General features: G+C 41.3%; 1 protein-coding gene across 7 annotated transcripts in view, besides 4 other annotated features; it reads left to right on the top strand.

Moving 5' to 3' along the window:
• Nucleotides 1-3,098: 3,098 nt before the first annotated feature.
• Nucleotides 3,099-27,793, top strand: part of STAU2 (staufen double-stranded RNA binding protein 2) — a 327,112-nt gene continuing 302,417 nt past the window's right edge. For 4 of the 7 annotated variants that reach the window (NM_001164382.2, NM_001164381.2, NM_001164380.2 and 1 more), the window contains exons 1-3: nt 3,739-3,796; nt 10,711-10,823; nt 12,230-12,295. Coding sequence is in view for 3 of the 7 variants with exons in the window: in NM_001164381.2 (NP_001157853.1) it covers nt 12,278-12,295 (18 nt within the window). In the remaining 4 variants the exon portion in view is untranslated. Of the gene's footprint in view, nt 3,193-3,738; nt 3,797-10,710; nt 10,824-12,229; nt 12,296-27,793 lie in introns of those variants that run through there. The other 3 variants (NM_001164383.2, NM_001164385.2, NM_001164384.2) reach the window with 2 other exon arrangements.
• Nucleotides 3,237-3,526: a silencer, noted in NCBI's record as "silent region_19291". NCBI's record gives its function as "represses an Ori minimal core promoter by ATAC-STARR-seq in GM12878 lymphoblastoid cells {active_cell/tissue: GM12878}" and the evidence as "EXISTENCE:reporter gene assay evidence [ECO:0000049][PMID:35858748]".
• Nucleotides 3,607-3,696: a silencer, noted in NCBI's record as "silent region_19290". NCBI's record gives its function as "represses an Ori minimal core promoter by ATAC-STARR-seq in GM12878 lymphoblastoid cells {active_cell/tissue: GM12878}" and the evidence as "EXISTENCE:reporter gene assay evidence [ECO:0000049][PMID:35858748]".
• Nucleotides 3,987-4,166: a silencer, noted in NCBI's record as "silent region_19289". NCBI's record gives its function as "represses an Ori minimal core promoter by ATAC-STARR-seq in GM12878 lymphoblastoid cells {active_cell/tissue: GM12878}" and the evidence as "EXISTENCE:reporter gene assay evidence [ECO:0000049][PMID:35858748]".
• Nucleotides 4,277-4,336: a silencer, noted in NCBI's record as "silent region_19288". NCBI's record gives its function as "represses an Ori minimal core promoter by ATAC-STARR-seq in GM12878 lymphoblastoid cells {active_cell/tissue: GM12878}" and the evidence as "EXISTENCE:reporter gene assay evidence [ECO:0000049][PMID:35858748]".

Below are 27,793 nucleotides of genomic sequence, written 5' to 3'. Positions count from 1 at the left end.
TTTAAAAAAAAATTTAATTTTAAATTTATTTTTAATTAAATGGAGGTGGGGTCTCACTTTACTGCCCACGCTGGTTTCAAACCCCTGGTTTCAAGAGATCCTCCCTCTTTGGCTTTTCAAAGTGCTGGGATTACAGGCATGAGCCACTGCGCCTGGCCTCATTTGCTTTAATCAGCTGCCTATTAATAGGCCCACTGTTCTTTATTTATTTATATTTTTTGATACAGGGTCTTTCTTTGTGGCCCTGGCTGGAGTGCAGTAGTGTGATCTCAGCTCACTCCAACCTCTGCCTCCCAGGCTCAAGTGATCCTCCCACCTCAGCCTCCTGAGTAGCTGGGACTACAAGCACGCACCACCACGCCCAGGTAGTTTTTCTAATTTTAGTAGAGATGGGGTTTTTGCCATTTTGCCCAGGCTGGTCTCGAACTCCTGACTTCAGGTGATACGCTAGCCTCCCAAAGTGCTGGGATTATAGACGTGAGCCACCACAGCCGGCTGGCCCACCGCTCTTTAAATATTCATTATTTTCAACTCCTATACAAATATTTTATTTTAAAGTAAATCCTAAAATGATTGTAGAGTGATGTGTGGATTTCCATGTCACTCAGGTGATTTCATGTACTGATACTATATACCTTGAGCAACTGAAAGTGCTGATTCAATTAAAAAACAATTTCCTTTCTGATAATTGTGACTTAGAAAAATTCATTCTATTTGGGGTTTACCAATGACTGAAAATCAGTTATGAGGAACAGTTACGGGAGGGATAAAGTTTTCAATTAACTTTAAGGATCTGAATCAAAGAGAATGAAATCTGACCACCCCAGAGTTCTTTCCAAAAGTATAAACTCATCCATTTATACCAAAGGATTTACCGTCCACCTACTTGCTGTTGGATGCTGGGACTACAGATATGCATGAGACACAGAGCCTGCCCTTCAACAATGCAATGTTTGGTAGATACAGACAGGCTAAAAAAAAAAATTCTAACATACCTACAATATCAGAGAAGAGAGGTACAAGAGAAGAGCACTCGCCTGCTCAGAGGAGTGTTAGAGAATGCCTCTCAAGGAGGTGATTTTTTTTCTTTTTTTTCTTGAGATGGAGTCTTGCTCTGCTGCCCAGGCTAGAGTGCAGTGGCTCGAACTCAGCTCACTGCAACCTCTGCCTCCCGAGTTCAAGCAATTCTCCTGCCTCAGCCTCCCAAGTAGCTGGGATTACAGGTGTGTGCCACCACGCCCAGCTAATTTTTGTATTTTTAGTAGAGATGGAGTTTCACCATGTTGGCCAGGCTGGTCTCAAACTCGTGACCTCGTGGTCTGCCCGCTTCGGCCTCCCGAAGTGCTGAGGTTACAGGTGTGAGCCACCACACCCGGCCAAGAAGGTGATTTTTGAATGCCGTGAAAGATTATTTGTTCACCAGGCGAGAGAAGGGTAGCCTGAAGGGAGAGAGAATAGCCTATGGAAAGACACAGAGGTAGGCAGCTTGACCCTTGGTATGGCTGGTGGGAAAGTAAGGTATTCATTCAAAATATTCAACAATTTCTGGTCAACTTCTTTCAGTCAATGATGGACAGGTGGACTGCATATACAACGGTGGTCCCATAAGATTATACAGTTCTTTAAGCCGGGCGCCTGCAATCCCAGCACTTTGGGAGGCCGAGGTGGTGGGGAGGGGCGGGGGGGGGGGGGGCCGGCGGGGAATCACTTGAGGTCAAGAGTTCGAGACCAGCGTGGCCAACATGGTCAAACCCCGTCTCTACTAAAAATACAAAAATTAGCTGGACGTGGTGGCATGTGCCTGTAATCCCAGCTACCAGGGAGGCTGAGGCAGGAAAATTGCTTGAACTCGGGAGGTGGAGGTTGCAGTGAGCTGAGATTGTGCTACTGCATTTCAGCCTGGGTGACAGAGCGAGACTTCGTCTCAAAAAAAAAAAAGATTATATAGTTCTTTTACTGTAGGTTTTCTGTTTAGGTACAAATACCCTTGTGTTGCAAAATTGCCTACAGTATTAGTACAGTAACACACTGTACAGGTTTGCAGCCTAGGCGCAATAGCTATATACCATATAGCCAAAGCAAGTAGTTGGCTAGACTACCTAGGTTTGCGTAAGAACACGCTATGATGTGCGCAAAACAACAAAAATCGCTTAATGACACGTTCCTCAGAACATATCCTTGTGGCTAGGTAAGGCATGACTGTATTAGAATGCTGACTGGGTGCGTAAGCCGCTAGAAGGAGCACAGCAAATTTAGGGAGGATGCAACATGTTAAATCCGAGGGAACTGGCAGAGGTGAAAAGGGGGGAAAGGAGCATAGGAAAGAGTTCTGGGAGGAAAAATATAGCTGTAGCTAACATTGTACCAGGAGAGGTACTACATACCCGGTCCTATTTAAAGGGCTTCATATGTATTGTCACATTTAAATACGAACTATCTATCACATGTAGTCTCCTCTTGATGCACAGGATAAGTAACATGCCCGTGGTCTCCTCACCAGTTAGCAAGCGGATATCCAGCCTTGGTTATCTGACTCTGGCGCCCTTGCGGTTAACCAGGACACACACTACCTTCCCAGGTGCAGACATGAGATTGGTTTTAGATGATGACTGAAATCACCGGCCTGGGAGACATTTCTCAGTCAGAGAAGTGACACTGGGAAGAAACCCTAGAAATAACGTTGCAAACGAGTAAGTTTGTGAAAACACACTAATAGTTCTATTTCGAAATTTCTTTGTCAGATTATTTTTGGTGCCGGTTACTAAACGAAGTGTTCAGTTTCATTGAGCTTAACTGGGTTGAAGTTATCTAGACAAAAGTAATCCACATCAAAACCAGGACGAATTAAGACGTAATTTCTGTTTTCTGGCACTCTTGCCTCATAAATCTAGGATTCAGGGCATTGTTTTCAATGGTTCTCATTTTTGGCTCCAAGGATTCTTTTTCATGTGACTAATATTTTCGGTAGAAGAGGAGGTCTGGCCACGCCGCGGGTCTTGGCGAGCAGGTGATCACGGATCCCTGGTGTTTGCTGGGCGAGACGGTGAAGCAACCTCCTCCCCGCCCCCTCCCCCGTCTAGAAAGGTGCAAGATCCGCTAAACCGTGCGTTGCACAGCGGCGGCCGGAGCAGACGCGGGATGGTCGCGCGTCCCCTGCACAGCACAGAGGGGCAGCCGGAGAGCCTGGGAAAGGTACGAGCGGGGAATCAGAGCACAGGGTGCGGACCAGAAAGAGCAGACGGTCAGTCGGGCGGGGAAGGAAGTTGCCGAGTTGCAGGTGTGGAAGGGGCTGCCCCAGGCCCACCCTTGGCAGACGAGGGGGCGGGGAGTCGCGCCGGGGACGAGGAGACTGCGGACCGGGCGCGCTCCTTGCGCAGTCGCTCGCCCGCGTGCCCAAGCCCCCCGGGAATGGCCCTCGCCCAGGGGCCCAGCTCGCCGCCGCTAGCCCCGCAGAGCCTGCAGCTGCTGGGGCCCGGCAGCCGCCAGGGGGCGGGAGCTGCGTCGCGAACAATGGCCGCGCTTGGTCGCGGGCCGGCGGGAGGCGGAGTGGAGGTAGAGCCGGTGCCGGGCGCGCGCGCCGGCCGGGCGTGCTGGGGCGCGGGAGCGGCTGCGCAGGCGGGGGCGCGCGGCGCGAGCGCGGGAGGGCGCGGCGGGAGCGCCGGGGAGGCGGGCGGAGGCGGGCGGAGGCGGGGGGCGGGGAGCCCGAGGGGTGGAAGCCGGCGGCGGCCGAGCGGGGTCAGTTCTCTGTAGTGTTTGCCAATGTTGGAGCCGTCTGCAAAGTGTCCCCGGCAAGAAGGTAAATACCCTCATCGGGGGCGTCCGGGAGACCCCGACTTCCGCGCCGCCGGCGAAGAAGGCAGAGGGCGCTGGGGAGCCCTGCAGTTCCGCAGCACGGGGAACCCGGAGAAAAGCAGCCCCCTTCGCGGCCTCCCCTCCCCCGCGCCTTCCCTCCCACATCGGGCTCTCGGGGCAGCAGCGGGGAGGGGAGACCGGCGGGGGAGGGAGGACAGGGAGGCGAAGGAATTGGGGTGGGGGGTGCGTGTGTGGTGGAGGGGGTGGGACGACACAGGTGTCCTGAGGGGAGGAGCCGGGAGGAAGGCGAGGAGGCCGGGCCAAGTGGGGGTGCGGAGGTCGGGGAGACAGGAACGCGGCTGCGGGCGCGGGAGGCTGGGGTTCTAGGGGGCCGGGGTGGTAGCGGCCGGAAGAGAGGACGGCGAGTGCAGCCACGGTGTGGCTGCGAGGGAGAGGGAGCGCCTAGAGTAGGGCAGGGGAGGGCGGCCCGGGGAGGGTCTGCGGGAAATGGGCCTGGGGGCGCTGGAGGCGGAGCGGCGGGGCCGGGGCGCGCCGGAGGGTGGCGGCGGCAGCTATTTCTGTAGAATGGGCTAGTGGTAAAGACGTAACTTGCCGAAATGGGGAGGGTAGGTGGGGCCGAGGGGACAAAATATATCCTATGACAGGCAAGTTCTGCTGTGGCTGTTACGAACTCCTACCGTGATGGCTCGGCTTAAAGGGGTAGTTGGCGGTAGTGACCTTGCCGGGGTGAAGGGAGTTGGGCGAGGAGACAAAGCTCAGTTACGGAATCCGCTGTGTGAGAGCAGGAACTCTAGTCTCTTCGGGGTCGAGCCGGGGGCTGTGGCTTGGGGGCTGGGGGTGCTCCGCAGAGGCCATTGAGAAGCACGCCACTCTGGGATTCTTAGGGAGGCGGTGGGGGTAATGGCCGTGGGATTCTGGAAGTCTTTGGAAATGTGTGTAGAATTTTGCATTTGTGAATAATTTTCTTTGGTAAGGGTCCATATTTGCTGTGATGTCCCCTTACCCCCATCCCCACTCCAAAGGGTTAAGAACTGCTTGAGCAGATAGAGAGGGACCATTCAATTAGGGTAGACCTGGGAATTTACCAAAGGATTTTAAAGTGGGTGGATCCTGCAGAAAGAAAGGCTAGAGATGATCCTTTAAAGATATTTTACTGTTAATTGAAAACGTTTTTTATTTAATGTTTGCTTTCACAATTTTGGTGAACTTTTGCTGAGCATTACTTGGCTTCTGATGCATCCTGTGTTTCAGACCAGCATCGTGAATACTTGAAATCAAAATTGTGATGGACAGGCAGGGTGATAGTAACCTTGGAGGAGAAAAGATTTCAACATTTCTCCAGGATATTTCTTCCCCGTCCTTGCTTTCTTTAGATGATTCAAGTACACTGTTGTGAACTCAGCTGCGGTGGAAAAATCTTATTTAATAAAACTACCAAAACCAAGACTTACTCTCCATCTCTGTTTTGTAGTATGGCCAGATTTTCATTGTTCAGTTTGTATCTTACTGCAAACAAGAGATATCACATAACACTTTAATTGTAGATTGCTGCATTTTGCAGCAGGCCTGTATTAAATTTGCGAAGCAGTTATGCCAAACTATCTGGTGTGTTTGTGTTTTCCTGCTATGGTTTCAAGTCAAGTCACTATTGCCATATTTTATTATATGGTAGGCTAGTCTGAAATTTATTCCTAAGTGATGATAAGTTGGTAGGATATGGTACATACTTGCTCACAAATTACTGCATTTTTCCCCATAAAAACCAGTGTTTTGTATTTGTAAGAATGTTGCTGTGTAATCCAAGTATGTATTGTTAATTTCAAATAAAATGCTGTGTAATTTTTAAATTTTAACTTTATTTGGAAATAATTTCAAGCTTACAGACAAATGGCAAGAATAAGAATAATACAAAGAAAATCTTTGTAACCTTTATTCAGATTCACCTGTTAACATTTTATGTATTTATTATTTGCTCTCTATCACACACAAAATATTTTTCCCCTGGACCATTTAAGGGTAAGTTACATACATTGTGATCCTTAACTCCTAAATACTTGAGCTTGGAAAACCATGCAAATTTTACATTTTAGCTTACTTGGCTTGTCTGGAATGAAGTGCTAGGAAGAGTGGCTTGGTTTGCTTTTCAACAAATAGTATGAATATAAAAAAAATCTAAGATAGTCATCAAGCTTTTAAATATACAAACAATCCAGAAATCGAGGCAGAGCGGTTTTCCTGTTTAGGTTCTAGAAGATATGGTAGGTTTTTTTTTTTTTTTCCTTTGTGCCTACCCTTCTCTTTATTCCTATTATTATCTTGTTTTGTGCACGTTCAGTGCTGGGAATCTGATCATTTATAGGTACAGATCATAATAAAGAGGGAAAACTCTAGATACTGCAAAATTGAATTCTCTTAGACTGCATAGTTTGAGACACGCACAGTATGATTATTCACATATAGATATATTTGTGCCTCTTATAGGTACACAAAATACTAGATGTCTAGAATCAGTAATAATTATCATTTTTATTTATGTGTGCATCGTTTGATTTTAAATAATCCTCCCCAAGTTCTATATAGGAGCTTTGCCATTATGTTGTCCTAGAGGTCAAGCCCTTGACTTTGTTCCAGGAAAAATTATAAGAAGGCAAATCTTTTATTTTTCACCAAGCTGATCATAGAAAATAAAAAAAATTGGCCAGGTGGGGTGGCTCATGCCTGTAATCCCAGCACTTTGGGAGGCCGAGGCAGGTGGATCAGGAGGTCAGGAGTTCGAGACCAGCCTGGCCAACATGGTGAAACCCCGTCTCTACTAAAAATACAAAAATTAGCTGGGTGTGGTGGTGCGCGCCTGTAATCCCAGCTACTCGGGAGGCTGAGGCAGGAGAATCGCTTGAACCCGGGAGGCAGAGGTTGCAGTGAGCTGAGATGGCGCCATTGCACTCCAGCCTGGGTGACAGAGTGAGACTCAGTCTCAAAAAAAAAAAAAAATGTCCGGGCATGGTGGCTCATGCTTGTAATCCCAGCACTTTGGGAGGCCGAGGTGGGTGAATCACCTGAGGGTTGGGGGTTCGAGACCAGCCTGACGAACATGGAGAAACCCCGTCTCTACTAAAAATGTAAAATTAGCCGGCCGTGGTGGCGCATGCCTGTAATCGCAGCTACTCAGGAGGCTGAGGCAGGAGAATCATTTGAAACCAGGAGGCGGATCTTGCGGTGAGCCGACATGGTGCCCATTGCACTCCAGCCTGGGCAGCAAGAGTGGAACTCCGTCTCAAAAAAAAAAAAAAAAAAAAAAATTAAAAAGAAGGCAAGTCTTTTTTAATTTGGTGTATAGTGAAGAAAAGACGACTTTGGGCCAGAATGAACCGTTCTAAACCTAGCAATGTGACTGTAGGCAAATAACCCAACCTCTAGAAAAATGGAGATAATGCCTACATCCCAAGATGATGAGGATTAAATGAGTTGATGTAAAAATGGCAAAATGTGGCACCTAGCGTATACAATTGGTGTCTGAAAAATGTTAGTTTCCTTTTTTTTTTTTCTGGCCTGTGTTATTTAGAGTTTTCCACTAGAATAGTTTGTGGCGTAAGACTTCTGTTTTCCTTACATAAAAGCAGTGTTTTTGGGTACCCACTTTGAAAAATCAAAATGAAAAACATTTTAAAAAGCTCTTTAAAGGACCGTATATCTTTTTTAGAGTAATAAGCATTGAATTGATAGTTTTGTAGCAGTTTGTAGTCTAAGAGTAGAGATAGTAAATTTTTTTTGCTTTTCATGTTGTCAAATAAGACATTTAAGTGAGAATTGCCTATCAACTGTAGGATGGGTGCTGATATAAAAAATTTATACATATTTAGTAACAGTGCCGTTTTATAAAGCAGTTTAATTATTGGGGATTATATAGATTTCTGTGCAGCTTTTAATTTCTCAGATGGGCAAAATGTAATTCATAATTAAAGTACGACTTATATCAGCAGTACATTGCAGTTACAGGTTGGGCCATTCTTCATGAGCATCACGTCTTCCCCAGCCGTCTCCCTATAATCCTGCTTGTTTTCATTTAGTAGTTTGGAATCTAGAATTGCCTGTCTTCATATGCCTGACCAGATAGGGCATTTTTGGGACGCATGGATACATTTCTCTAAAAGCGCTTAGTTGTAATTGGAATCAACTGTAGCTGGAAACTTTTGTGATAGAGGAGGTGGATTTTTTTTTTAATTATTTTTATTTTTTGAGATGGAGTCTTACTCTGTCACCCAGGCTAGAGTGCAGTGGCGCAATCTCCACTCACTGCAGCCTCCGCCTCCTGGGTTCAAGCGATTCACCTGCCTCAGCCTCCTGAGTACCTGGACTACAGGTGCGTGCCTCCATGCCTGGCTAATTTTTGTATTTTTAGTAGAGACGATTTTGCCGTGTTCGCCAGGCTAGTCTCGAACTCCTGACCTCAGGTGATCCGTCCGCCTCAGACTCCAAAAGTGCTGGGATTACAGGCGTGAGCCACCACACCCAGCTGAGGAGGTGGATTTTATGAAACCAAAGGTAGTATAAAACTGCTCTGCATTTTATTGATATGTCTTGATATTTTAGCAAATTGTTTAAAATATGTGACAGTAGACTGGGCGTGTCTTTAAAGTAGAAACAGAGTCTTAAAGACGTGCCACTGTGAACATTCTGAATTGTCCATGGTATAATTACAAACTACAATTTTTAAATTGATGTAAATCTAAAATAACTGGTTTGCTTAAAAAAGTATAATTTTCAGAATGTTAGCCAATTACAGAGTGCTGTTATAGACATTAGTTTCATGTGTTTTAATTTCTACAGCTCTTTATATTGTAAAGAAAAGGCTTACAGAATATTTAAATCGTATGGTTAATTTTATGTTCATAAAGTTTTATTTTTTGTTACTTCATGGAATATCTTTTCCGTGTCAGAAGACTAGAAGTTTCGGGCCGGGCGTGGTGGCTCACGCCTGTAATCTTGGCACTTTGGGAGGCCGAGGCAGATGGATCACCCGAGGCCAGGAGTTCGAGACCAGCCTGGCCAACATGGTGAAACCCCGTCTCTACAAAAAATACAAAAATTAGCCAGGCATGGTGGTGTGTACCTGTATCCCCAGCTACTGGGGAGTCTGAGGCAGGAGAATCACTTGAGCCTGGTAGGTGGAGGTTGCAGTGAGCTGAGATTGAGCTGTTGCACTCCACTCTGGGTGACAGGGCAAGACTCCGTCTCAAAAAAAAAGAAAAAAAAAAAGGTTAGAACTTTCAAAAAGGTACCCCAATATCTTACTCTGCTTGCTTCTTGGAATCAGCCACCAGTGTTATCAGCCTCTAATATTGAAGAAATACATAGAGATCTGTAGATAAGCATTTGTAACTTTAGCAACGTATACTAATAAAGACAAAGTGGAGTTTTTCAAAGTTGGTGAATGCTTAATAATGTTAATTTTTTTTTTTTTGAGACGGAGTCTTGCTCTGTCGCCCAGGCTGGAGTGCAGTGGCGCGATCTTGGCTCACTGCAAGCTCCGCCTCCCGGGTTCACGCCATTCTCCTGCCTCAGCCTCCCGAGTAGCTGGGACTACAGGCGCCCGCCACCACGCCCGGCTAATATTTTGTATTTTTAGTAGAGGCGGGGTTTCACTGTGTTAGCCAGGATGGTCTCGATCTCCTGACCTCATGATCCGCCCGCCTCTGCCTCCCAAAGTGCTGGGATTACAGGCGTGAGCCACTGCGCCTGGCCTTTTTTTTTTTTTTTTTCTGAGATGAAGTCTTGCTCTGTCACCTGGACTGGAGTGCAGTGGCATGATCTTGGCTCACTGCAACCTTGGCCTCCTGGGTTCAAGCATTTATTTCTTCTGCCTCAGCCTCCCGAGTAGCTGGGATTACAGGCATGTGTTACTATGCCCAGCTAATTTTTGTATTTTTAGTAGAGACAGGGTTTCACCATGTTGGCCAGGCTGGTCTTGAACTCCTGACCTCAGGTGATCCCCCCACCTCGGCCTCCCGGAGTGCTGAGTTACAAGCGTGAGCCACTACACCCGACCAGTAATGATAAATTCTAGAAAGCAAGGGACACTAAGTCACTGAGATGCTTTAGTGGTTATTCACACTTTACTTTTTAAATGAACTGTTTTCAGTTAAAAAAAAAGATGATTGGTTGTGTTTGTATTTTAAGTTATAGCTAGTGTATTTTTTTAATGAGATACTCCATTCCTATTGAAAGCGGGTGTATTTTAACACCATGTGACTAATGCTACACTTGTGAATAATCTCATTTTTTGAATTGAAAATATAAATGTTTAAGTTTTATAATTTGCCACTTTGAAGTTCTAATGTTACTCATTTGCTCATGTTGAACAGGGATTTTATTTTATTTTTTTGCCTATCCAAATATTAATTAATACCTAAAGCACCATGGGAATATTGAATTATAGAGTTGGACAGGATAGTCTTATTTATTGTTGCATAGCACATTGCACCAGAATTTAAGGACTTAAGACAACAAACATTATCTTACAGTTTCTGTGGGTTAGAAATCTGGGTGCAGCTTAGCTGGGTGCCTGTGGCTCATAAAAGAGGTGGTAGTCAAGCTGTCAGTTGGGGTTGCAGTCACATCTGGAAGCTCTACTGGTGGAAGATCTGTTTCTGAACTCATTCATGTGGCTCTTGCAGGGTTCAGTTTCCTGGGGCTCTTGGACTGAAGAAATCAATTGTTGCTGGCTGTTGGCCAGAGGCTTTTCTCAGTTCTTTGCCATATGGGCCTCTCCAAAGGGCACCACAGTTTGGCATCTGCCTCCCTCTGAGCAAATGAGTGAGAGAAGGTGACACCTAAGAATTTTTATAACCTAATCTTGGAAGTGGTATCTCATTATTTCTGCTATATTCTATTTGTTAGAGGCTGCCTACCACAAGGACTTTAGCTTACTTTTTAAAGATTGAAGAAAAAAAAGAAGACAGAAAAAGAAGAACTCAAAGATACACAAAGTAATTTGAACCAAGGCTCAGAAGGTAATCTGAAGAACTTTGACTAAAACTCAAATTCACCAATATCCAGGCCGTGTGCTCTTTATACAGCATCCCGTTCTCATAGGAAATGTGACAGTAATTAGAAAATAAATAAAAATTGATGCAGATGCTGAGGACACTATTGTAAGAAAAATATTAAAGTTTTCAAAGTCATTTTGAATGGACTCTAGTTTGTCATCTTGAAAAAATGGTAGCCAAATATGGGTGTGTGTTTGTGTATGTATGTGTGTACTTACAAAACGTTTGCTTCCAGGGGAAAGTTCAATATTAAAATTTAGCAGCATAACAGTTTCTATACAGGTGATTAGATATAGGCCTTTTGCTGTGTATCACAATTGTGTTGTTGCTTTAGATAATTTTTAGGGGAGAGGTCTGTATATAATTTATATTTTATATAAACTTTTTTTCATTACAAGATCCCATGATTTATTTATTTGTAATTTGGACTTTCCTGCCCTTCATTGGCATCTGTTTTCAAATTAAAATTTTTTTTTTTTTTTTTTTTGAGATGGAGTCTCGCTCTGTCGCCTAGGCTGGAGTGCAATGGCGCAATCTCGGCTCACTGCAACCTCTGCCTCCTGGGTTCAAGCAATTCTCCTGCCTCAGCCTCCTGAGTAGCTGAGATTACAGGCACGCGCCACCATGCCTGGCTAATTTTTGTATTTTTGGTAGAGGCAGGGTTTTCACCATGTTGGCCAGGCTGGTCCCGAACTCCTGAACTCAAATGATCCACCCACCTTGGCCTCCCAAAATGCTGGGATTACCACGCCCAGCCTGAAATTTTAATATACATACTATTTTTATACTGATGATAACAGACAAAATGACAGAGAAAAAGAAACTATTCAGCAAGATAATTGTACTATATGCTCTTTTCCATACCATCTAAGAGAATACTTGTGGTGTTGCATCTTCTTTAGGATTAATTTATCGTATAGAAGATGGGAACAAAGCTGTTTAAAACAGGACTGCAAAAAGGGAAGTATACATTAAATATTAACCTGAAACTCTCAGATTTATTTTTAACAGCTTCACTTTTGTTGGGATTGTCTTAGAAGTCTAGAAGCAGAAGGAGCTTTGTTCAGATCTGTACTGTCCAGTATGGTGGCTACTAGTGACGTAGTTATTCAAGTGAACATGAAAGAAAATTAAATATTATTTTCTTGATTGCTCTAGCCACATTTCAAGTGCTCAGTAGCCACATGTGGCTAATGACTTCCAGATTGGACAGTGCAAGTACAGAACATTTTTATCATCATAGAAAGTTCTATGGAGATCTGGATAAATTACATTTTATATTTGATTTTGATCAAGGGCATGTGTTTAAAATACCAGTCATTGAGGTTATCAGCTAAGTTGAACTTTATTTCTTCATTTTCGTTTTCCAGTTTTTGGAGCCGTGAGGGATACAGCAGTTTGGTCAATATTGTCTTAACATGCTTCAAATAAATCAGGTGAGTTTGTGTTAAGGCATTTTTCATGCTTACATGGTGCTTTGGCTGTAAATTGTGGAACATTTTAACTCAGCTTTTCTTTTCTATAACTGTAACCTGACTCATCACTTTTTAAAGCAGTTACCTACTGTATAGTCATCATTGGAGGCTGTGTAGGGCAGGTTGTTTAAGGATTAGAATGATCTTCTGAAAGTTGATAACTTCTGGTTGTGCAAGGCAGAAGGTTTGTCTGTTCTTCTTGATGTCACATCCCTTTAGGACTTGTTAATGTGTTCAGAATGCTTATGATCATGATACAGCTTCAGTAGGTGGCAGTTCTGCAGACTCAAAGCATTTTTAGTGACAAATCTTGTGAAGTAGTTGTATCTGTTTTTTTTTTTTTTTTAAAGTTCACTTTCCAGGGCACTGAAAAACACTAGAAGGAAGTGCCCTGATAAACTACAGCATTTAATACTTTAGACTCACTGAAAGAAGTGCTTTTCTTAGTTCTTGACGTTTCTCCAAGAACTTTATACATTTAATTTTACCTTTCCCGATCAAATAGAACATTGTATCATAACTATAGTGTTAGAAAATACTTTTGGCCAGGCTGGGTGGCTCAAACCTGTAGTCCCAGCACTTTCTGAGGTGAGGTGGGAGGATCTCTTGAGCCCAGGAGTTTGAGCCAGACTGGGTAACGTAGTAAGACCCTGTCTCTTAAAAACAAAAAAAAAAAAAAGGAAAGAAACAAAATACTTTTATTTCTTTTGATTGCAAATCAACAGAGAAGTAATTAAACTTTTTTTCTTTTCCCCTGTGATTAAGAAAGTAATCGACTGGGCACGGTGGCTCACACCTGTAATCCCAGCACTTTGGGAGGCCAAGGCGGGCAGATCACCTGAGGTCGGGAGTCCGAGACCAGCCTGGCCAACATGGGGAAACCCCGTCTCTACTAAAAAATACAAAATTAGCCAGGCATGGTGGTGCGTGCCTGTAATCCCAGCTACTCGGGAGGCTGAGGCAGGAGAATCACTTGAACCCGGGAGGCGGAGGTTGCGGTGAGCCAAGATCGTGCCATTGCACTCCACCCTGGGCAAAAAGAGTGAGACTGTCTCAAAAAAAAAACAAAAGTAATCTTGGCCAGGCGTGGTCGCTCACGCCTGTAATCCCAGCACTTTGGGAGACGAAGGCAGGTAGATCACCTGAGATCAGGAGATCAAGACCAGCATGGCCAACATGGTGAAACCCCATCTTTACTAAAAATACAAAAAAATCAGCCAGTCATGGTGGTGCACACCTGTAGTCCCAGCTACTTGGGAGGCTGAGGCAGAAGAGTTGCTTGAACCCAGCAGACGGAGGTTGCAGTGAGCTGAGATCACACCACTGCACTCCAGCCTGGGCTACAGAGCGAGATGCGTTCCAAAAAAAGAAAGTAATCTTGACCCCCTGCCTTCCGACATATAGTCCTGCTCACCTTGCCAAAGAAATTTCCAGTTCCTGTGCATCCCATGCCATCTCTAAGCTAATGACTTCTAAGTTTATACCTGGTCTAGACCTTTTTTTTCTGAGCTCCAAACTCATGTAGCATTTACCACCTTGATCTCTTGGATGTCTTTATACATCTTAGACTTAATGTGTGCCCTAGAAATAATCTCAGTGCTTCAGTTTTACTGGACCGTTTCAGTTCCTAGATTGGGTAAGGTTGTTCTGGCTACAGGGATTTGCACAGATTTCCTCTGCTGGACCTCTCTTCCCCACCCCTGGGTTTGGCTTGCTTGACTGCAGTCCTGCTATATGCTGTTATAGCACCTTGCTCTTTAGTTTAATAACATGACATTTGTAGTTATAGTCAAATATGTAATTATTTGTTGTAACATCTGTCTCCCTTGTTAGACAGTTTGTTTCATGAAGACAGTGACTTTTCTTGTTTACTCTTATATTTCCAGGTCCTAGAATAAACAATGTAAATAGTTTTCATACATTTATTTGTTGGGTGTATGAATATATGAATGGTGCTAGAGTTGTCACTAAAGCAAGGAGATATTTATTTTTCAACAATAACCACGTAATTATGTTGTCAGTTTTGGTGTTATATGCTGCTTGTGTTACACAAATGCAACTAACTCTCCCTCATGTAAAGTTATTATTTAGTTTTCTCCTGTACTAGAAACTTCCCTAGTGCAACAAAAATTACTTTAATCAAAAACATTACTAATAATTTAAAGAAATCGTAGTGCTGTCCTGTGCTTAGTGCTTCCTGTTTCCTCACAGCTGCTCTCAAATCCCAGTGGAAGCATTATGAGACCTTATTTGCAAACTGTTATAGCTGTGAAGTTGCCACTAAATAACTTTCTATGGATACCTGCCATTAATTATTTGGTTACAATTAAAATAATTTTTCATCTTCTGCCACAGACATTTGGAAATGACCATTTTATGCTAGCCAACTTCATTGAAAATTATAGTTTATGGATTAGTCCTAATGAGGATTTACTGACTGGCTATGTTGCAGGTCATGTTGAATCAGGCATTGCAAACAGTTCCTAGGCAATTCTCTACATGGCCACAAGCAATTCCCTGGATGTTGGCTAGAAATCGTACACAGTGCCTGGAGATATACATACTTAAATTGTACAGGTTGAGTATTCCTTATCCAAAATGCTTGGCACTGGAAGTGTTTTGGATTTCAGATTTTTTTAGATTTTGGAATTTTGCCTACAGGTTGAGCATCCCTAATCCAAAAATCGAAAATCCAAAATGCTCCAATGAGCATTTCCTTTGAGCATTATGTTGGTACAAAAGAAGTTTGAAATCTTGGAGATTTTGGATTTCAGATTTTTGGATTTAGGATGCTCAATCTTAACAGAAGTGTATTCCTAGAACAATTTAAGAGACCCCCCCTTCTTGTTACTGACTATAACTGTCATCCCCCAAACTGTTCAAGTCTGAGATGAAGACTCTCTTCAGCTAAACATAGAGTTGAATTCTTAAATTCATGAGTGATTTTTGAATCTTACTTTCTGGGCAACCACTTTCTCATAACAGTGAGGGTTCTCAAGGTAAATGTGTAAAGGGGCCCAGTGTGGTGGCCCATGCCTGTAATCCCAGCACTTTGGGAGGCTGAAGCAGGAGGATTGCTTGAGCCCAGGATTTTGAGACCAGCTTGGGCAACATAGTAGGACCCTGTCTCTACAAAAAATAAAAAAAGTTAGATATGGTGACACATGCCTGTAGTCTCAGCTACTTGGGAGGCTGGGGTGGAGGATCTCTTGAGCCTGGGAGGTTGAGGCTGCAGTGAACTGTGATCATACCACTGCACTCCAGCCTGGGTAACAGAATGAGACCCTAGGCATGCAAAGGGGATTTAAGTTGATTCTCAGCTTGAAAGAGTTGAGATTTTTACTACGTGATTTTCAACGTTGTCTCTAGGATTAGTACTACATTTTTATTTGGGAAGGCTTTTGTTTTCTTAAAATACCTGAATTAGATGCTTTTTTATTTTTTATTTTTTGAGATGGAGTCTCACTCTGTTGCCCATGCTGGAGTGCAGTGGCATGATCTTGGCTCACTGCATCCTCCGCCTTCCGAATTCAAGCAATTCTTCTGTTTCAGCCTCCTGAGTAGCTGGGATCACAAGCGCATGCCACCACGCCCGGCTAATTTTTGTATTCTTAGTAGAGATGGAGTTTCACCATGTTGGTCAGGCTGGTCTCGAACTTCTGACCTCGTGGTCTGCCTGCCTTGGCCTTTCAAAGTGCTGGGATTACAGGCGTGAGCCACCGTGCCCGGCCTACATGGTTTTTTATTCATAACAGATTCTTCCATATGTGTTACTAAAACTAATTAAAAACTAGGCTATTGAATATCAGGTTATTTGATATTAACTTTGCCTAACTTTATTATTATCATAGAACATGGATGTTCCATGTTCTGTTAAGATAATAGCACTTTTCTGCCTTTAAATTGTGATCATAGTTGTTGTTTTTGCCTTTTAAGAATGTGTGTTATTATCCATGTGCAACTTATGCTTACTGTAGAAAATTAGGTGTGATAAGCAAAAAAAAAAAAAAACAAACCCTGAAAAACAAACAAAAAAAATCACAAAAAATTCCACTTCTATTACAGAGATAATCACTGGTAACATTTTGGGGTGTATACTTCTAGATTTTTTTTCTATGCAGGTATGTTTTTATGTGAATATATGTTACTTTTTAAAAACTGGGATTATACAATATGTAATGTTTTGAAGTGATTTAATAATAATTCTTAGTTTGGATGTACTAAAATTTAACCAAGCCCTTATTGTTGGACAGATTTTTATATTGTAGTTAGTGCCATAGTAAATTTTTTAAATGTATATCTCTTTGTCCAATTATTTTCTTAGAATTAATTATTAGAAATGGAAATACTAGTCAAAGATGTATGTGGATTTTAAAGATATTTGGTGTATAGCTCCCAAAAAGACAAAATTATATCTGCCAGAAGTGTATCTACCTGTTTCCTTACTTCCTTGACAAAATTTCAGTCTTTGCTTATCTGTCTGACAAAAGGTGGTATTTTATTTTGTGTTTCTATAATATTTAAATATTTTTTGTTCTTTCGTGTTTTGCCTTTTGTGGATTGCTTATATGTGTCTACTGTCATCTATTTCTTTTTATTTGTAAATAACATTCTTTGGATTATGCCCTCTGATAATTTTCTGAGTTAGTATTTATAATCATTACTTTATACTTTTCAGTCATTATTCAACAGATAACCAACGGGAGTATACTGGTTTCTGGGGTACCATAATATTTACCAGTATGGTATATTTTGGCCCTTTCTCCCTGATCATTAATTATAGGTCCCCCGGGAAAAGGAACTCATTTTAGCAGTAAGCTACAGCAAATATAAATTACGAAGATACATGCTGTGAATAATATTTTTAAATGAGTAGCTGAAGTAGGGCCAAGTTTTGGAGATTAGCTGGTGAGGTAGGCTTGACAGGTCAGTGTGTCCTAAGGAATTGGAAAAGTCTATATTAGGCGGTTGTAGTATTGGGAGAGCCTAGCAACTGGGAATTTACAGGGATCAAAATAATCTGGTGATTCTTTTTAGTGAGGTTTGATAGTAGATATTGGGAACATGGTAGCTAAGAGGAAGCTTTAAGGCCTAACTGAAGTGGAAGAGATGACAGGCAGGACAAGACAGAATTTTTCCGTGTCGAAGGAGTAGCAGAACCGTGTAGGGCAAGAGGGAGCCAGGTGTTATTAAAAAAAAAAAAAAAGTTTTTATTACACTGGATAGTGTAAGACCAGAGTATGACTACCAAGAAACAAAGTCTAGAGTGTAAGGAATAATGACAGCTATCTCAGAGGTTTGTTGTGAGGAGTAATTGAGATAACAAAGGCAAAATGCTTAGCATTGGTGCTGGTACTACTGCTATTAATTTTACTATTAATATTGCTGTTGGCTATTGCTGCCTGACTGGAAATTGGTGGGAAAGGAGGGCAGACGGCAGACATTTAGGTAGATCATTGAGTGAAGTATTTGGGGGAATGAACCACTTTCTCAAGCCCAGATTGGCTTCAAGGTCCTCCTGCTTCTTGCCACAAGCACCAGGAACTCTATTCTTTTCTCTTAAAAGTTGCTGCTACTTAGTAGTAGTTACTTTTCTTTCCAAGACTGGGTGTGGAGCTCTGTAATCTGCTCATGTCTCTTGTAGCCATAGAATATAGCCTACAGTTAGGGGATAAGAAAAATAGTAAACATAAGGAGGTTAAAAATGTGTAAGAAAGACTTCTACTTTCCCCTATGCTGGTATAATGGGAACTGGATTTATTTTATATGTAGCCAGCTTCCAAGATGGCCCCCAATGATCCCGGCATCCCGATATTTACACCATGGTGTAATCCCCATACACACTGTATTGAGGTTTATCTGTGGAACCAATAGAATGTAACAGAAGTGATGGATCATTTCTTAGGATAGGTTATTTATAATACAAATGTGGCTCCACCTCCTTCCCCTCACTACCCCCAACCTTGGATTACTCACTCTGAGAATAGTTAGCTGCCATGTTGTGAATGGCCCGATGGGGAGGCCCATGCTGTGGGAAACTGAGGCCTCCTGCCAACAGCCAACAAGGAACTGAGGCCTCTCTAGCCAACAGCATGTGAACGAGCCTTCTTGGAAGCAGATGTCTCAGCTTTAGTCAAGCTTCCAGTCCTAAACATCTGTCCTGCTGACATCTTGACTGCAACCTCATGAGAGATCCTGAGCCAGAACTACCCATCTAAGCTGTTCCCTGATTGCCAACCCTCAGAAACTGTGTGAAAAAAAGAAATGCTTGTTTTGTTTGTTTTTAAATTTTTTTTAGCTTTTTTTGAGTTGAAGTCTTGGTCTGTCACCCAGGCTAGAGTGCAGTGGTACGATCTCAGCTCACTGCAACCTCTGTCTCCCAGGTTCAGGTGATTCTCCTGCCTCAGCCTCCTGAGTAGCTGGGACTACAGACGTGCACCACCGCACCTGGCTAATTTTTTGTATTTTTAGTAGAGATGGGGTTTCATCATGTTGGGCAGGCTGGTCTCAAATTCCTGACCTCAGGTGATCCTCCTGCCTTGGCCTCCCAAAGTGCTGGAATTACAGGCGTGAGTCACCGTGCCTGGCCAATGCTTGATTTTTAAAGCCACAAAATTGGAGGTAATTTGTTATGTAGCAAAAATCTACTCTTCCTCTTTAAATAACTTGAGAATTTATAAAATATATAAACAATAGCTTTTAGACATTGATGACAGGCAGCACCAGACTGTGATCCCTGAGAGAATAGGAACAAGTGAAGGTAAAGCCCTTCAATTGTAACAGCTTACTGCAGAGCCTAGAGGCAGTTTATTGGCTGCAGTGCAAGGTGTGGAGGAACCAAAACAGAGCCCAGCAGTCCTACTGAGATAAAAAGACAAAGATAAAAATTTGGGAAGATCAAGGCGATTAGAATTACAGGGCAGAGTACCAGAGAAAAAAGAGCTAAGGGGGTTGGGATTGGCGTTGGGGAGGCATAAACTAAAAAGCAAGAGAGCATGAACAAGTGAGCATGCATTTTGGAGATCTCCAGAGGGTTCTCCTGGAGTCTTTTGCTGAGTTCTGATTTCGTAGATGCTTGACAGGCCCTACCTGAGGCCAGAGAAGAAAACACTTGGAAAGCACTAAGAAAAACAATTTCCAGAGTTCACAATAAGGCTTCAAATAGTCGTGTTCCTACTATGCAGAGTAAAGTATGTTGTAGAATACATGGGGCACTGGGAAGAGTCCTCAGAAGGCTCCAAATGATTCCAAGTAACTTAACTGCACCAGAACACTATTTAGAGGAATACAACAAAATTCAGAACCCAACAATGTAAAATTTAGTTTTTGTCATTCAGTCAAAAAATGCTTGCTTTGACGTTAGCAATGGATAGAACATCTAGACAGAATATCAGTAAGGGACTAGAGGACCTCAACAACAGTATTAATCAACTAGACCTAACAGACATATACAGAACATTCAGCAACAGCAAAATATGTATTCTTTTTTTTTTGTCTTTTTTTTTTTTTTTTTTTTGAAAGACGTAGTCTTGCTCTGTTACCCAGCCCAGAGTGCAATGTCTCCATCTTGGCTCACCGCAACCTCTGCCTCCGGGGTTCAAGTGATTCTCCTGCCTCAGCCTCCTGAGTAGCTAGGATTACAGGTGTCCACCACCACACCCAGCTAATTTTTGTATTTTTAGTAGAGACGGGGTTTTGCCATGTTGGCCAGACTGGTCTCAGACTCCTGACCTCAGGTGATCCACCCTCCTCGGCCTCCCAAAGTGCAGGGATTATAGGCGTGAGCCACTGCACCCTGCCAAAATATATATTCTTTTAAAGTATACATGAAACATTCTCCAGGCTGTATTAGGCCACAAAACAAGTTTCAGTAAATTTAAAAAGATTGAAATCATGCTATGTATCTTCTCCAGTCACAGTGGAATGAAGTTAGTAATCATTAACAGAAGGAATACTGGAAAATTTACAAATATATGGAAATTTACAAATATGTGGGAATTAGAGAATACTTAGAAATAAATTAAAATGGAAACAATATATGTGACTTAAATGATGCAGTGAAAACAGTCCTGAGAGGGAAATTATTAGCAATAAACATCTACATTAAAGAATAAGAAAGGCCTCAAATAAATAATCTTACTTTACATTTTAAAGAAACTAGAAAATGCAAAGCTACCAGAAAAAAGGAAGTAAATAAAGATTAGAGTGGAGATAAATGAAATAGAGAATAGGAAAATAATATAGAGAATTAGTGAAACCAAAAGTTTGATTCTTTGAAAAGATCAATGAAATTGACAAACCTTTTGCTAGACTGACAAAGAAAAAACACAGATAGGTATAACTAAAACTAGACGTGAGTGTGGGGACATTACTACTGACCTTAAACAAAAAGGATTAAAGAGAATACTGTGAGCAATTTTATGCACAGATTAGATAACCTACATGAAATGGACACAGTTTTAGAAATACGCATTACTAAAACTGACTCAGAAGAAACAGAAAATATAACAGACTTACAAGTGAACAGATTGAATTAGTTAAAAAACCTCCCAAACTAAGATTACTTGAGCCTGGGAGGTTGAGACTGCAGTGATCCATGATTATGCCATTGCACTCCAACCTGGGTGATAGAGTGAGACCCTATCTCAAAACAAAACAAAAACTCCCAATCAGAAGTCCAGTACCATATTGCTTCTCTGGTGGATTCTACCAAATATTTAAAGAAGAATACCAAATATTTAAATATTTAAAGAGTATGAGAATCGCTCTCAAACTCTTCCAAAAAATTGGAGAGGAGAGAGTAAGAATACTTCCTAACTCACTCTTTGAGGCCAGTATTATTACCCTGATACCAAAGCCAAACAAAGACGTAATGCGAAAATTACAGACCAATATTCCTTATTAATAAAGATGCAAAAATCTTCAACAAAATACTAGCAAACTGAATCTAGCAGCATATTTAAAGGAATATGCACCATGGCCAAGTGGGACTTATTCCCAGGATTGCAAGGGTGGTGTAGTACAACACATTAATAGAATGAAGCGGGGAAAACCCCCACGTGATTGTTTCAATTGATACAGTAGGCAGTTGACAAAATTCAACAGCTGTTCTTGATAGAAAGGCTCAAAATCAGGAATAGTAGGGAACTTTTTTTTTAAACATTTCCTCAACATTCAGCGTTTATGAAAAAACCCACAGCTAACATCCAACTCAATAGTAAAAGACTGAAATCCTTGCCCTTATGATCAGGAACAAGGCACGGATACCCATTCTCACCAGTTATTCAAGTTGTAGTGGAAGTTATAGCCAGAGCAGTGTGACAAGAAAAAGAAACAAAGACATACAGATTTGGAAGGAAGAAATAAAACTGTCTCTGTTTGCAGATGACATGGTCCTATATATAGAAAATCCCAAAGAATCCAGAAAAACCTCCACTAAAGCTAATAAATAACTTGAGCAAAGTTGTAGGTACAAGGTAACACACAAAAAGCATTTGTGTTTCTGTGTACTCGGAATGAACAATACAAAAAGAAATTTTAAAAGATTGCATTTATAATAGCATCCAAAAGCCTAAAGGAGTTGACTTGCTTATGAAAGACTTGTGCACTGTAAACTATAAAACATGTTGAAATAAAGAAGACCTAAATAAGTGGAAAGACATTTTGTGTTCATGAATTGGAAGACTTTACATTGCCGTTAGGATGGCAATACTGTCCAAAGCAATCTCCAGATTCAATGCAATCTCTATCAAAATTCCATTGGCCTTTTTTTTTTTTTTTTGCAAAAGTTGGAAAGCTGATCCTCATATTCATATGGAATTGCAACAGATCCAAATAGCCAAAACCATCTTGAAAAAGGAAGAATAAAGCCAGAGGACTCATATTTCCCAATTAAGAAACTTACTGCAAAGCTACAATGATCAAAATAGTGTGGTACTGGCATAAGGATAGATGTATAGACTAATAGAATTGAGAGTCCAGAATTAATATATATGTAGGCAATTGATTTTTAACAAACATGCCAGGATGATTCAGTGGGGAAAGAATAATCTCTTCAAATGGTTTGGGGACCCCTGGAGATGCACATGCAAAACAATAAAGTTGGACCCCTACTTCATGCCATGTATAAAAATTAACTCATAATGGACCAATGGCCAAAATACAAGAACGAAAACTTACAACTCAACAGCAAAAAAAAGCTCAACTAAAAAATGGGCAAAGGACTTGGAATAGACAGTTACTCTGAGAAGATAAACACATCATTAATACTCAACATCATTAGTGATCAGGGAGATGCAAATGAAAACCACAGTAAGATACCACTTCTCACCTACTAGGATGGCCAGAATCAAAAGACGGGCAGTAACTGGTTTTGAGGACGATGTGGAGAAACTGGAACCCTCGTATGTTGCTGGTGGGAATGTTAAATGGTTCAGCCTCTGTGGAAAAAAGAGTTTGACAATTCCTCAAAGGAACACATAGACTTGTCATATGACCCAGCAATTCCACTCCTAGGTATATACCCTGAAGAATTGAAAGCAGGTACTCAAACAAATATATGACCACACATGTTCATAGCATTACTATTTGCAATAGCTAAATGGTGGAAACAACCCAAATGTCCATCAGTGGATGAATGAGTAAACAAATTGCAGTAGTCTGTATTCCATAAATTGTCTAGCAGTAAAGAAATGAAGTACAGATACATGCTACGATGCAGATGAACCTAGAAAACATATTAAGTGAAAGAAGACACACACAAATGGTCACATATTGTATGATTCCATTTATGTGAAATATCCACAATAGGTAATCTATGAGACAGAATGTAGATTGTTGCTTGCCAGGGCCTGGGATTAAGGGTGAATGAGAAGCAACTGCCTAATGGGTGTTGAATTCCCTTTTGGGGTCATAACAGTGTTTTGGAACTAGGTATAGGTGGTAGTTGTACAACACTGTGAGTGGACTAAATACCACTGGAATATTCAGTTTATTTTTTATTTATTTATTTTTTTGAGATGTAGTCTCCCTCTGTCGCTCAGTCTGGAGTGCAGTGGTGTGATCTCAGCTCACTGCAACCTCTGCCTCCCGGGTTCAAGGGATTCTCCTGCCTCAGCCTCCTCAGTAGCTGGGATTACAGGCACCTGCCGCCACGCCCAGCTAAATTTTGTATTTTTAGTAGAGACGGGGTTTCACCATGTTGGCCAGGCTGGTCTTGAACTCCTGACCTCAAGTGATCCACCTGCCTCGGCCTCCCAAAGTGCTGGGATTACAGGAGTGAGCCACCGTGCCCAGCCGAACGTTCACTTTGAATGGATTAATTAGATATTATGTCAATTCTACCTCAATAAAATATTAAAATGCTTACAAAGAAGAATGAAAATATGACCCATAGCCAGGATTTAAACATTTTCTGAAAAGAAAGAGACCCAGAAATGATAAAGATGGTTTAGCAGACAAAGATATAGAAACAGTTCTTACTAATATGCTCTAAATGTTCAAGACACGAGGGGAAAACAGAAAGATGATGTGGAAATACATAGAAAATATAAAAATAGAGATGAAGAATGCAGTATCTGAAATAAAATATATATTGGATGGGATTAATAGCAGATAAGACACACATCAGTGGGCTTGAATAGATAACAATAGTGACTATCCAAAATGAAGCACAGGGTGGAAGGACTAAAGAAAAAAACAGCATCAGTGAGCTGTGGGAAATATCGAGTGGCCTAAGACGTGTAATTAGAATCCTAGGAGAAGGGAGGGGCAACAGAAAATATTATAAGAAATAATGACTTTTATTTATTTTTTATTTCAACAGTTTTTGGGAAACAGGTGGTGTTTGGTTACATGAATAAGTTCTTTAGTGGTGATTTCTGAGACTTTGGTGCACCCATCACCCAAGCAGTGTACACTGTACTCAATGTGTAGTCTTTTATACCTCATACCACTTTCACCCTTTCCCCAAGTCCCCAAAGTCCATTGTATCATTCTTACACCTTTACATCCTCACAAATTTAGCTCCCACTTATGAGTGAGAATATATGACGTTTGGTTTTCCATTCCAGAGTTATTTCAGTTAGAATAAGTCTCCAGTTCCATCCAGGTTGCTGCGAATGACATTAAGAAATAATGACTTTAAACCTCTGTTCTCTGTTTAGTAGAAACTATAAACCTGTAGATGATGGTAAGAAGTCAACCTAAAGTAGAAGAAATATTAAAAAAAAAAAAAACCTAACCACGCACATCATAATCAAATAGCTGAAAATTGGTGGTATTGAAATAAAAATTTTGTTGTTGTTGTTGTTGAGACAGGTCTTGAGACAGGTTTCCCAGGCTGGAGTGCAGTGGCACGATGATGGCTCACTGCAGCCTCGACCTCCCAGGCTGAAGCAGTCCTCCCACCTCAGCCTCTCAAGTAGCTGGGATTACAGGCATGCACCACTATATCCGGCTAATTTTTATATATTTTGTTGAGAAGGTGTTTTGCCATGTTGCTCAGGTTGGTCTCCCAACTCCTGGACTCAAGTGATTCACCTGCCTCGGCCTCCCAAAGGGCTGGGATTACAGGCATGAGCCACTATGCTCAGTTAATTTTTTTATTTTTAGTAGAGATGGGGTTTTGCCATGTTGGCCAGGCTGGTCTTGAACTCCTGACCTCCAGTGATCCGCCCACCTTGGCCTCCCAAAGTGTTGGGATTACAGGTGTGAGCCACCATGCCTGGCCCATTTTTAACTTTTAAAAAGATAATTGACTAAAACAAAAATACTAACAGTGCCTTGAGGGCTTATACATAGAAATTAATTGATGTCAGTAGCATAAAGAAAGGGATAAGGGAAAGGGAAGTATAGAATTTTTAGGTGCTGATATCAAACATGAAGTGGAATGATATTTGAAGGTAGGCTGTGTATGTTTTAGAACAATTCCTATACGACAAAATAAAAATAGTAAGCCTATGTAGGATATAAAATGGGTACTAAAAATAATCAGTCTAAAAGAAGATAAAGTTGAAGAAAGGAACAAATAAAAGGACAAAAACATAACAAAACAGTAGATATAAATCTAGTAATATTGACAACTATACTAAATGTAAATGACTTAAATGCTCAATTTAAATGGCAAAGATTGTCAGATTGTATAGAAGAGCAAGACTCAAGTACAGATGCTCCTTGACTTATGATGGTGTTAGGTCCTGATAAACCCATTGTAAGATGAAAATATTGAAAGTCAAAAATGTATTTCATACACATAATTAACTGGGCATGGTGGCTCATGCCTGTATCCCAGCACTTTGGGAGGCCAAGGCTGGCAGATAATTTGAACCTAGGAGTTCAAGACCAGCCTGGACAACATGGTGAAAACCCATCTCTACAAAAAATACAAAAATTAGCTGGATGTGGTGGTGTGCACCTGTAGTCCTAGCTACTTGGGAGGCTGAAGTGTGAGGGTTGCTTGAGCCCAGGAGGTCAAGGCTGCAGTGAGTTATAGTCTTCATTGCATTCTAGTCTGGGTGACAGAGTGGGACCTTGACTCAGAAAAAAAAAAAAAATATATATATATATATACACACACACACACACACACACAACCTACTGAACATCATAGCTTAGCCTAGCCTACCTTAAATGTGCTCAGAACACTTAAGTTAGACTACAGTTGGGCAAAATCATCTAAATACACCCTATTTTATAATAAAGTGTTAAATATCTCATTATAATTTATTGAATGTGATACTGAAAGTGAAAAATAGAATGCTTATATAGGTACTTCAGTATGGTTTCTACTGAGTGCATATCACTTTGTCACTATGGTAAAGTTGAATCATAAGGTGAACCATCGTAAGTCAGGGACGGTATATTTATGATGTTTACAAGAAACTCAAATAGATACAGATAGATTAAATAAGAAGGACGGATGGGGACTTTTGCCTCTGGTCCATGTGGTGTAACAAGGATCGTGTTTACTGTCCTCTTGAAACAATCCTACCCCTCTTCTCCAAAAAAACAAAATATGTAGAAACAACAATGATTAAGACATTCAGGTCTTAATCTCAAGAATCAAGTGATTCTTGAGAGAGAAGAAACAAACAAGGTGAGTCCTACAATTGCCCCAGGCCTACTGCACTGAGAGATTTTCCAGGATGTGACATAGAGAGTAGAAACTGAGATGTGGAGTCTGGCAGACTCTGAGTTGAGAAGATGTTGCTGCTCTGGAGCGAACTAGTAAATTATAAAAACAAGACTTGAAAGGAACAAACTATTTCCAAATTACTCAACTGTATGCCTGGACAAAGTCCAAAAAGATTTATAGGAGTCATATAGCAAGGTAAAATTAACAAGGTATGTCATTCAGTTAAAGATTACCATGTATGCAAAGAAGCATGAAATATGACCCATAATTATGAGAATCTTCCGTCAAAATTGACACAGAACTGACACAGATGATAGAATTAGCAGAGGGCATTAAAACATTATAACTGTATTCCATGTATTCAAAAAGTTAGAGATACAGAAGAGACAAAAAGACCCATATCAGACTTACAGTGATGAAAACTACAACTGAGATGAAAAATATACGGTATGAGATTAATGGTAAATTAGACATTGCAGAAAAAATTATGAATGAACTTGAAGGCAGAGCAATAGAAACCATCCAGAATGAAGCATAGAGAAAGAAGAAAAAAAAGTCAGTGAGCTGTGGGACACACTCAAGCAGCCAAATAGATGAATAATTGTAGTTCTCAAGGGACATAATATACAGAAGAATATATTTTAAGAAATAATGGCCAAAAATGTTTTAGACTTAAGCCATAAATCTACAGATAAAGAAGTTGAATGAGTTTTAAGTATAAGAAACATAAAACTACACCAAGGTATAGCAGGTCCTCAAATAATGTTTCTTTCAACATCATTTTGTCATAATGTTGATGAGAGAAAAAGAATTGATTCCTGGCTGGGGCCAGTATTGGTGTGATGTTTTCATGTTCTTCCCATGTCTGCATGGGTTTTCTTTGGGACTTCAGTTTCCTCCCACATTAGGGAGATGTGAGCATTAGGTTAATTGGCTTCTCTAGATTGTTCCAGTATGAGTTAGTCTGTTGTGTGTGTGTGTGTATGTGTGTGTGTGTGTGTGGGTGTGTGGGCACGCACGCACTCTAGTGTGGAATAGCATTCTGTCTAAGGCTGGTTTCTGCCTTGTGCCCTGAGCGGCTAGGATACGCTCTGACCACCTGTGACCCTGAACTAGAAAAATTGGGTGAATAATTATCTTACTTGTTTTTATTAATCTTTCTTAAGTGTATGTGTAGCTCACATTCATTTCATTGTTTAATATTAGAAGTGTTTTGGTATTAGAAGTTCGGTGATGTTTTTGTAACTAGAAATACACTGTAGGAACTTAACACTTGTTTATGTCGATTGGACCATGGTAAATTGGGTTCTGTTCTACTTTGTTTC

The sequence above is a fragment of the Homo sapiens genome, chromosome 8 (assembly GCF_000001405.40).
Source record: "Homo sapiens chromosome 8, GRCh38.p14 Primary Assembly".
In the NCBI taxonomy this organism is placed as follows: Eukaryota; Metazoa; Chordata; class Mammalia; order Primates; family Hominidae; genus Homo; species Homo sapiens.
Note: the sequence above shows the minus strand (reverse complement) of the source record. Positions and strands in the feature narration are given on the sequence as shown.